This window comes from Homo sapiens, chromosome 14 (genome assembly GCF_000001405.40).
Source record: "Homo sapiens chromosome 14, GRCh38.p14 Primary Assembly".
NCBI classification, from domain to species: Eukaryota; Metazoa; Chordata; class Mammalia; order Primates; family Hominidae; genus Homo; species Homo sapiens.
In genome coordinates this window covers 47,382,752-47,394,873 of record NC_000014.9, presented here as the reverse complement: position 1 = coordinate 47,394,873, position 12,122 = coordinate 47,382,752, and the positions used below count along the sequence as shown (strand labels likewise).

The following is a 12,122-nucleotide window of genomic DNA, read 5'->3' as shown; positions in this document are numbered from 1 at the left end:
GCTAGACATAGTTTTAAATCTTTAATACATAACTTTATATTTGTTGTCAAAAATTATTCATTTTAAAACTTTCTAATAATTGTGGTTTTGAGTGTAATTCATGATCATAATATATTTTTGTTTTAATTTGACACTTTATGTTTAATCATGTGAATAAATCCACACATTTTAATAGTTATATAGTTATGAAATTCTCAAATTAAAATGTTACAATTTTAAAGAGACCAGTAACAAATATAGAGAGGCATGTATACTAGCATATATAAAGAGAAACATTAAGTCTTCTTTGTATTCTGTTTTAGATACATTCATTCAGAAAGCAATACAGTAGTCTCTCTGGCTTGTTTAAACTTAAGACTATTTTTTGCAGATAAAATCAAATAGCCACGCCTATATGATACTCTTTCTGATATGGTTAAATTGCTATCACAGTTGAGGTTAAGTTTAAGATGGTTTCTTAATGGTAAATATTGGGAGTCTAGGACCTTTTACACTAGGTTACAGATGCCTTCTTGCTGATTTACTGTGTTCTAAGTCAAGAAGCTTTGTTTCTGGTCCAGGCTTAAAAAACTATGTCTCCTTCAGTTGTTTATGCAAAACCTCAGTGGCTTAGTTCTTTTATTTTTTTAAGTGAAAATATTATTCTTTTGTGGATAGTTTAAAATTTCAAATGAATGAACAGATAAAAAAGCAATTAAAGGAATGCCACATGCTAACAAATGTGTAGCATTTTTATTATAAAAATTTTTTATTGTGATGTTATTTATATTCATGATGGTGGAAGTGATGAACTGGCATTTTCATTTCATAAGGGGAAAAAAGGGAGCCAGAATATGCAGGTTCACAAGCAATTTTGTATTTGGAGAACATGATTAAACAAACTTAATTGTCCTTCTTCTTCTGACTAAGCCACTGTCCAACCCAAACTTCCAGTGATCAGTTGTCCTGGTTTTGGTACCAAATGTTCGTTTATATTTATAGTCAAAATACAAGGTTTTCCAAGAAAACCTTAGGTTCCTGGTAAGCCAGTATGATTAGTCAAGTCACAAATACATTTCCTCATTTCCTGTACAGGCACAGGTCACAAGATTTTCTTACTATTGAAAGATGGAAAAATAGCTGGTGATCATATCAATGTAGAATGTTAACTGATTATCAATATCACATTCAGATTTCATTGGCCTTTGAAGCTTATAAAATTTTGAAGGAAGGAGGAAGGGCTTCTAAATGAATAGAATATGAAATAGCAAATCAAAAACCAGAGGCTGGTCCTTGGAAACAGACTGTGCAAATAAGGGGCCTTAAGCTTAAAGGTGATGGGAAATTAGCTTCTGCTGATTATAAATCCACTTTTCTCTTTCTCTATACCCACAATTTAAAAGAAAAAGCTGTTATCTGTGGTATTTTAATTTTAACATGGCAAATATATTCATGCATTAAATGTGTAATTATATTTTTATTTTTTTTAATAATTGCAATTTAAAAACTTTAAAATTTTCCCAAAATTGAAGAAAAGTTTGAAAAATGAAAACCTAAAATAAATAGGGATTCTGGTTTTAATATAAAGCAGTATGTTTGGAAGTAAGTTATTTTGCCATAGTAAGTACACAGATTCTCATCGATGTGAAAGAAATGAACGCTTTAGATTCCCCACTTAAAGCAACTATAAAGTTTTTTAATTTCTCAAGCCTGTCAATCTCCAGATAACAAAGATGTTTGACACGGCAAGCTATTTGTATCCCTTCTTGCAATTATTATTATTATTATTATTATTATTATTTTAATTATCTGGTTTCTTTGGTTAGCAGTAATTCAAGGTTCATCTAACAAACACTTTAGTTTTTAAGACTTTGGAAGATTACTTTCTTTTTTAGCTGCAAAAGCTTCTGAAAAAATACTGGTCTGATCTGATATTTCCTGCCAGAATGTGCTTGGCTCATGAAGAAATAAAAGTAACGAGATGCTCAAATTTATATTATTCCCATGCTTCTGAGCTTTTTCTTTGCCCTAAATGTGATCCTTATTTCCATTTAGGCAATAACAGACTTATGTGTTTTATGTTTAAATTAAGAAATCTCATTCAACAGATATTTTTTCTTTATTTTTTATTTTTTGGTTTAAAAATATGTATGTCTACCTCTGGACAGCAAGTGTAAGTGGGAATGTAGGCTGAGCCACATTGCCATGTAAAGCAGCTCCTCATCTGTTCCTAGCAGATGTTAGCAAAGTCTTGCTTCCTGACAAGGTTCCAGAAACATCACAGGATATGTGCAGCTCAGTAGGGTCTCTCTGGACTGTTTACCCTGAAAGTTCTCCTGCTTGTTGAAGGCAGAGTCTATATTTATCTTCCACTCAAAGATATTTGTTGAATAAACATAGATTTTTCTTGAAATCTGGCTAGGACTCAAAGGCCTACTTGCATGAGTCTGTATTATAATAAACATTTTTATGTGGGTCAAAATTTTTATGTGGGTCAAACATTTTTATGTGAGTCATGAGACATCAGCAAAACTAGATATTTTATTTCAATGTACTATGGCGACAGTTTTCCACCACTTTAAATGCTGGAACATTTGCTTCATGAAATGATAAAAGTTAATGATTTCTAAGCTTCATTTTTGTCTTTGCCCCTTTGACTTCAGTAATTAACTATGTCTTTTTCCTTTCCTCAACCTCACCTTAAACGATGTTATTTATCTATTTATTTATTTTCTTGTACATTCATTATTCACTCAGTTCTTTACATACGCCTTCCATTTGATGCGCTCTTCAGGAGATCTGAGTGTTAAAAGTTTGAAATTCTGAAAATTTGATAAGATAAAAGGGAACTTAATTTAAGGTCACCCTGTTACAGACAGAATTACCGGGATGTGCACAGCTTTGCCTCACAGCATGCCAAAAGTCGTCTCCTTTAGCCCTCTATTTGTTTGAGTGATGCATATGAGAATAATTAACATAAAGAGGTGTCAGTTTAAAATAACTTTTAATTAGTGCTTCTAAATTGCTTAAATCAAATCTTTGAGATACTTATATTAAAGGGGGTTTATAGACACCAAAGCTCACCAAAGAGAAAACGGAATGTCTGACACTAATCAAATGTAGCTGTGTGTTTCTAGTATTTGCTGGTGTTGACATTGAAAATTAGAAAAACATTTTCAAATTCATGTATTTTACTGTGAGAATGACTTTTAGAGATGATCAAGATCAAACCTGACATTTAATAATTGATAAAACCAAGATCAGAGAAATGAGTTGCCTTGATTAGTGTGTTATATTTATATGCATACCTGTGACAAGAAAAAATACAATTTAAACAGATGTCCAAAGTGAGATGGGGTTGACATATAACCAGGGAAGGCCGACTAACCGGCATCCACAGAGTGCTAATGGCTGCCATTATATTGTGTCTGACTTTCACTCCCTCAAACCTCGGAAATAACTCTGAATGGATCATCCCGTTTCTTAGAGGCAGTTTCACACTTGTCTATTCACAGAAACTGATTCCTAAAAACTATGGCAAAACAATGCCACCCTATTTATAATGAGAAATCGCTGTCACATGAGCAGAAATTCTGGAGCAGATTTGTGCATTTTCTCCCTTCGGCAAATCTACAGTACAGGCAGTCACAATCAAAAAGTTGCTAGGGCAGCATGAAATCACAGCAGAGTTTGCACTGAAAGGAAGTAAGAAGTGTTACCAGAGTTTGGTCCAGAAGAGCTTCACAGAGGATATCATACCGGAGGAGGGTTATTATGTGTCTGCCAAGAGAATGGAGAATATGATTCCAGCCAGAGAGAACAGCACCTTAAAAGCATAGCATCAAAAGTAACATGCTATGTCTCTAGTCTAGTGTGTTACATTGTAAATATGCAAGGGCTGGCTAGACAGGAGATGGTAGGAGTGGAAACAGCCAGGATAAGGGTTGGAAAAATAGAAAAGAGACCAGACCTTGAAAAATTTGGTCCATTCTATGGTAGGAAAAGAATTCAGCCAAGGATATCAAGAAGAAACATTTAGAGAAATAGGAAAAATTCCAGGAGAAACTGGTGTCCCGGAAACCAGGAGCAGATGTTAGGGAAATAAAATTAGAAACAAAATCTCCCAAACTGGAAAGCCTCTCCCACAAAAGTAAAGGAGAAAGAAACCGGTTTAATTATTGAATAAGCATTAAACTGGAATGTAACCTGCATCACAGAAATCCACTAAAGAGATTGCGAAGATAGAAAGAAATCACCCTTTTATGTGTCTGAGCAGGTACAACTCATTTCCTACGTGTTCCCAAGATAAACAATAACTAGTTCTCAAGTAAGAGAACTTGACAGCATCATTTGTCACACATAATTCATCCTAACTTAATTTGGTAATTGGGGTGACCATGCATATTGTCATATTAGCTAGTTGGCTTTATCCAAAGGAAAAACGATAGTATCTTTACGATGGAAGGTTGTTTTGGCGAGAGGCACCAGCCAAAGTTAGGCTCCTACTCTTCCTTAGGAATTGGGTGACAGAGACACTATCTTCCCTGATGATTCCATTTCAAAAAGTTACTTCCCTAGTCTTTGAGAAAGACATTCTGGGGTTGTAAAGCTGGCTTATTATCTTTTAAAAAGAGTTACATATATTGCAAAGAGAAGAGGAAGAAGTGAAAAGTTTTCTAAATAAATGCTTTAAGAAAAGGACAGAGAAAGTTTATTTCCTTATTTTCAACAGGGAGAATTAAGCCTCATATTTAATCTGTATTTGCCTTTAGGGACCGTTTTAAATTGAGAGTGATCAACACCTCAAATGCTGAAGTTCTACGGATTACAGGAGGGGCACAACTAAGAGTCTAAGGGAAGTCATATTGCAGCTCAAAGAGGCCTGTCCTCTACTTCCATGGGTAGCCTCTATTTGTAAGAGCATATTCAAGGAGCCAGCCTGCATTGTTTCTGTCTGAGAGTCAAGATATTCACCACTAAATAGTTAAATGGCTTCTCTCTTACTATCCTTTTAAAGTCCTTTGGCTCTATGCTTAAAATGTTGTTTGTATGTATTTAAGGGAATTATGTTAGAATCCTCTACCCTTGGGCATTTTAAAGTACTTGACTCTGGCAACAGGTTTTATTCACAGCTCTCTGGGAAATCCCTCCCCCCTTTTTTCACCCTGAGGCCCAAGGACTGCAAAGTAGGGCGGTATTTTGCCTTCTCACTTCTGCAGCTGCAGGGGGTGAGTGAGGCTGCTTTGCTTTCTGAAGTGTGTGTGTGTGTGTGTGTGTGTGTGTGTGTGGGTGTGTGTGTGTGTGTTTTCCTGCAAAAGGGTAATTGACAAGTTCTCTGTAATTGTTCAAATAGCTTTTTATTTTTCATTTATTTATTGTCTAAAGACATTCCTAGAAAGCAGTTTTCAAAAAAAGACCCTATAGATTAAAAATAAGTATTCTACATGTATGCCATTTAAAATTACAAAAATTAGTAAGGTCAGTCTAAGAAACACGCACAATATATTATTACACACATTTTTAGTCATTATATGTCAGTTTGGGGACTTTTTGTTATTTAATTTCATGATACATCATCTATTTTAGAAGTCAACATGTTTATGTGTTCACACCTATATTTTGACCATACAGCATTTGTATAACATTTATTTTTTCATTTCATGGATCCAAAGTATACACTGTGTTAATCAAAGCTATTATGAAGCACCAGCTATTTGCTAGTACTGTGCTGGATGTATTTGAAAATTTTTTGAAAAGTAAAGACTTGGTGCTGATCATAGGATTTTGGTGGTGAAATGTGACTAACAAATATAGATAATGCATAACTTTATATAATTAGTACAGAATTTTGTGGCACAAAGCCTCTGTTGCAATGGAATTTTTAACATTTAGACATCAATAAGAAATAACCAGGGAAGATGTAATACAGAAGGTAAAATACGACCTTTAGTTTGAATGACAGTCAGTGTATCCATCGGGACATATGCTTGTAACTGAGAGGTAGAAAGCACTTTATACTGCAAGGAGGCTGAGTGTGTCATCGTATGCTGAGGAGTTAGACTCAGGCCAAAGTGGCGTTGCTTTGTCTTTCTCTTTTTCTCTGGGTCACTTATCCTCCTCCCTAGGCTTCTCTGTGTGCACCTGCATCACTTTCCCCTTTTTCTCTGAGACCAGCTTTCTGTACATTTCTAAGCATGATAGAAGAATATAACTCACACTCCAAACCCCTAATTTTCTACATCTGTTCAAGATGCTACTTGGCATCTCAGAGTCCTGATTTCAATATCCTGAGAAAAAGAGAATCTGACTTGGTCAAGTAAGGTCAGAAATCTTCAGTCAAAAGGGCAACCAGTTAAGATAGATGAACTGATAATCACTTCCTAGAAAAAGAGTAAGGTAGGCAGAAGACACAGCATTCAGGTGGAGGTAGAACAGATTGTGGGAATGCACAAAAGCAGAAGGAAGCCTTGGTTTGTGAAAGGGAAAATAGCACTGTATTTGGGATAATAGAGTCTGAAACAGTTGATTTAGTGCCAGTAAGGAACTATCCGAGGATTCAGTTTACTTCAGTATACTATTCTCAACCTGGATAATGGTGGACAGTATTTAATTTCAGACTAGATTTTAGAAAAGGAACTCAAACTAAGAAATCACTTATACCGTTATTTCTTACTGTTTATGCCTCCATACCTAGGATAATTTCAACAAGCATTCTGGCAATACCTAACAGAAGAAAGGAAACAAAATACAAATAATCAAAACAATAAAGACAAAAACAAACTCCTCAGAGCATCCAGGAATGAGTTTTCAGGATTAGATAGAAAGGAAAATATGGAAATAGTGTTTGTCATCATTTTCGTCTGTGATTTCTGAGTAACCATACATTAGGATCAGAGGAACCAATGAAAATAAATGTAGTGAATATTCAAAAGTGAGATTTACTAGCCAAAAGGGATTTCCTATTCACATATTGTCATTTTCCTTTATATCGAAGGCTGTGCTTGTCTGACCCATCCCTTAAATACGGATAGGTTTGGACATAGAGAGGGTCTTTCTTACACGTAAACGTATCCTCAGTCCAGAGAGATGGTGAGATCTATGACTTTCAAAGTTGTCATATCCATTCTATGCAGGGTCTAGAGTATGTCAGTTAAGTATATTTATCCTGACACATGGATATTTAAAGTATAAATATGTTAAAAATAATTATGCCCACATGCTGAATTTGGCAAAGAAGTGTTTTCTGCCTCAAATGTTTCAAAACAATTGAGTATCTTGGTTGATTTACTAAGCAGCATAATTTAGAACAACTTCGGCAACTTCTAATTTTTATCTTTTTTACTTTATTTAGCTGAAATTGCTTACATCAAAAGAGTACAAAGGAGAGTAATAGAGGAGGGGTTGTGTGGGCATAAGAGGTACCTGGTAGACAGTGAGGACAGAGAGAAAAACACCCAGCTGTTTTGGTGTATTCCCCACAAAGATCCGAGTGCGTGATAGGGTCATAACAACTTTAGTCTCCACCTCCAGCTTCCATCCTTTCCCTCTAAAAGATAGAGGGGTGGGTTTGGGGGTGGGTGGAGAATAACCCAACCGTGGTACCAAAGTAACCCACTTTACTGTTTGTCTTGGTCTCAAACAACCTGTTCGCGAACTGAAGAAAGGATGCTGATTGTAGAACCGATTTGGCCTATGAAATTTTGAAATAATGTTAGAGAGATCCTTAACGTTTCCTGAGATTGTACAGCAACCAGTTCCTAGTAAGGTATTCTAAAAAAAGTATCAGAAACACGAGTCATACCCTCTGAAGATAACCTTGAAGAAGAACAGTCATGGGGCTGTACAGTCTGATCATATTTGCTTTGGTGCTTTTTTAAATTCATTATGTATCAAGAGCTGCCATTTGTTGAATATGTACCATGTGCCATATATACTATTTTAAATCCTTCATATTATCCTCATAAAAACCCAGTGAAGTAGATATTAATACTCTCATTTTGCAGATGAGGAAAATAAGACACTTTCTAAGATGACACAACTTGTAAATGCAGAGCAGAATCTGAAGCCAGGCAGTGTGCCTCATGAGTTTATGCTCACAGATAGTCTGTTACACTGAGTCATGCTGCAGCCCATATATAGTCCCTGAATGATATAAATACCATACTTGTGGAAGTGGATTCTTCTTCTTATTATTATTTATTATTAGTTTGACAAATTGCCAGAGGCTAGCTTCAACAGGTATTGATAGTCTTGGTACTTGTCTCTCCATTTTTCCTTTTGCTCTTCATATGTTTTCACTCTTCTTCTTAACTAATCAGTACTTTTCAGCAGGGCTCACATTTTATATTACCATTTCCTGAGAACACTTTTACCTTGTAATTGTCACTTTTGTTAACATTTCTTCTGAAATGATTACCATGTTCACGTCTTTGAGGAGTGGTGGCCATTTCATTGTGAAACTGATGATGATTATGTCTTTGTTAACTACGTGTTATCAGTCAGTGGTTTAATTTTTTCTCTGATAAAATTAACCATAATGAGTTTTTATGAAATCAAAATCATTGAAAAGATTATAAATGAAATCTATACTTTATTCTTTTCTTTCTTTCTTTTTTGGGTGGAGTTTTGCTCTTGTTGCGCACACTGGAGTGCATGGTGCGATCTCGGCTCACTGCAACTTCCGCCTCCGTGTTCAAACAATTCTCCTGCCTCAGCCTCCTGAGTAGCTGGGATTACAGGTGCCCCCCACCATGCCCGGCTAATTTTTGTATTTCTAGTAGAGACGGTGTTTCACCATGTTGGCCAGGCTGGTCTCGAACTCCTGACCTCAGGTGATCCAACCTGCCTCAGCCCCCCAAAGTGCTGGGATTACAGATGTGAGCCACCGCGCCTGGCTGAAATCTATGCTTTCATAAATTAGAAAAATACTCTAATGGATATGATATAGGTTTCCTTAATTCATTATACCATTCTGAATTACAACTTGTATTTATTACTTTTTCCCTCTGTCATGTTAGTGATTACAGTTTTGGGATTTATCAACATTATAAAATAGGTAAGCAACTGCCTCAGTTGCTATCATCACCGACTTTCCTTAGAATATCTTAGAGATAATTTGTTCATTTGGCTCACACAAAAGCTACCCCATTTCCTTCTTTCCTCCAAAGAGAGCAAATGTGTGACTTCTTTGCTCCTGACATTTAGAAAGAAACAGTGACAGCATTGCTAATGGCTGGGGAGGAAGGAAGATGGAAAGAGGGATCATTGATGCTCACTCACCTTTCTTCTGAACTACTTAAAACTTTGAAAGAAAAAAATAGCTTTTTAATTATCAGTGTCCTAATATCAGTGTTCTTCTCTTGAATAATAATATTATTATTCCATATTTAAAACAATGTCCTATTTGCCATTCTTGAAAATATTTATGATTGTGTTTCAATTTTTATTTTGATAGATAATTTCATATACAAAATGTATGCTAGCTAATATGGCTCTTAATAAATTATATTTATCACATATTTCAATTATTTTTCAATTTTTACTAAAATAATTTTACTGTACCTAAGGGAATGAATGTCAGTTTCTAATCTTGGTAAATGTGAGCCTTCATAATGAATTTTGTTTGGATCCAGAAACGATCAGTGTCATAGTAGATATTTATATTTATATAGTTATAATTATTAGACTTAATATGCAATTTACTTAAAACATAAATGAAAACATTTTAGACATAGTATAATTTTATAAATCTAATTGGTTTTATTATTAGATATACATCATATATGTAAAATTGGTCAGTATTATGTTCAACTAGGGCTCATAGACTGTTTGGCTGCTTCACCCAGGATTATATAAGCAGGTAATAACACAGTTAGAACTTGAAATCATGTCTGCTCACATCAAGAAAAATGTTTGCTCCCTTTTATGAAACCCTGGCAAGACAAATTTGAAATAGCTGAAGGCATCAGAAGTATTCGTTGTATGGTTCCTCCATTGTTATAGGCTCAGCTATCTTTGTATTCTCTGGTTGCATGGTTTCCTGATTAGCTCTGCAGTGTTCTGTTCATCTGGGCCACCCTACTGGGCTTAACACCCTCATTTGTTCAGTGACTTTCAATTTGTTTTTGCAATATTTTGTTCTCCACTGGAGAGTCTCTTAAGTGGGTATATCAGGTGGGATGGAGCCACTGGGAGCTGTATGGAAGTACTGTGGCACCCACCCAAGCAATCAGGAGCAGTGATTTGGATGGCAGTATGTGGTAAAGTTGCCCTCTCAAGCCATACTGCAAAACATAAAAGTATGAAATATACTGGGTTGGAAAAGAGGGAATGCAAATAATGGTAAATCTCTGTAGTTCCAAGTGCAGCCCATATAATACCAAGAAGAAAATAGAAGAAATCAAGAAGGAAAGGAAGAATAATACAAGATAACAATTCTATGAGGAATGATCCTGGAAAACTGCTGCTTGAGGAAAAATAAAATAGAATCTGCACATTCACTTTTGTTCTAGACTTTAAGATTATTATGAGGTTTAGTATCAAAATGAGGTTGTATAGTATGCAGAACATTGGAGTCCCCTGGATACTAGATCCCCTCATGTGGCTCAGCAGCAACTCGCCTAAGGGTCCATTCTCTGACTCAGTCCCTTTGCCTCCATCAATGCTGCCAAGTATTGACTCTCTACCTTCCTTATTGCCTCCTGGAATTTTTAATGTTATGTCTATATGATTATCAGGTTCTATTTTACAATACTTTGTAAGCCTCTGGATATATTTTTCATATGAAATTATAGGAGAGAGTATTTGATGGTATTCATTAGTTACTAACCAATATGGAATATCATTATGTTCTATTTATCTCTTTATCTAATCTATCTATTATCTATCTATCTATCTATCTATCTATCTATCATCTATCTATTTAACTCTATACATAGAGACTTTATGCTAGGCTGCCTTAAGCACCATGCAGTCCATAGATGACAATTTTTTTGTCTCAGGCATGATCAAAATCGTCATAACATATATTCACAATTAGAGTGCTTTGTGCATTAGCAATTCTAATGAACCGTCCGGGTGTGGTGGTTCACGCCAGTAATACCAGCAATTTGGGAGGCTGAGGCGTGTGGATCACAGGAGGTCAGGAGTTGAAGACCAGCCTGGCCAACATTGTGAAACCCTGTCTCTACTAAAAATACAAAGGTGGCAGGTGCCTGTACTCTCAAATACTCAGGAGACTAAGGCAGGAGAATCGCTTGAACCCAGGAAGTGGAGGTTGCACTGAGCTGAGATCATGCCACTGCACTCCAGCCTGGGCGAGAAAGTGAGACCCTGTCTCGAAAAAAAGAAATTCAAGAAATTCTAATGAGTCTCCATTCAGAAGAATGGTGTGATATGTGTCATTTACTTTCCACACAGAATTTTATTAATATTTCTTCAATGAATCACATATTACATACAGTAGTGATTTAATACATGGACCTTATTAGGCAAGCATTTGATAGGCACTACCAAGTAATCCAGTATATTTTTCTTTTCTTTTTTTTTTAATTGTACTTTAAGTTCTAGGGTACATGTGCACAACATGCATGTTTTTTACATATGTATACATGTGCCATGTTGGTGTGCTGCACCCATTAACTCATCATTTACATTAGATATATCTCCTAATGCTATCCCTCCCCCATCCCCTGACAGGCTCCGGTGTGTGATAATCCCCATCCTGTGTCCAAGTGTTCTCATTGTTCAATTCCCACCTATGAGTGAGAACATGCAGTGTTTGGTTTTCTGTCCTTGTGACAGTTTGCTCAGAATAATGGTTTCCAGCATCATCCATGTCCCTACAAAGGACATGAACTCATCATTTTTTATGGCTGCATAGTATTTCCTGGTGTATATGTGCCACATTTTATTAATCCAGTCTATCATTGATGGACATTTGGGTTGGTTGCAAGTCTTTGTTGTTGTGAATAGTGCCACAATAAACATACATGTGCATGTGTCTTTATAGCAGCATGATTTATAATCCTTTGGGTATGTACCCAGTAATAGGATAGCTGGGTCAAATGGTTTTTCTGGTTCTAGATCCTTGAGGAATCGCCACACTGTCTTCTACAATGGTTGAACTAGTTTATAGTCCCACC

General features: G+C 35.8%; 1 protein-coding gene across 4 annotated transcripts in view, besides 1 other annotated feature; it reads left to right on the top strand.

Annotated features, from left to right (window-relative positions):
- Positions 1–12,122, top strand: part of MDGA2 (MAM domain containing glycosylphosphatidylinositol anchor 2) — an 835,983-nt gene that overhangs the window by 280,732 nt on the left and 543,129 nt on the right. The window lies entirely within an intron of this gene.
- Positions 4,637–5,327: an enhancer, noted in NCBI's record as "NANOG hESC enhancer chr14:47858750-47859440 (GRCh37/hg19 assembly coordinates)". NCBI's record gives its function as "activates a minimal SCP1, AML or CMV promoter by ChIP-STARR-seq in naive H9 embryonic stem cells {active_cell/tissue: H9 hESC(naive)}" and the evidence as "EXISTENCE:reporter gene assay evidence [ECO:0000049][PMID:30033119]".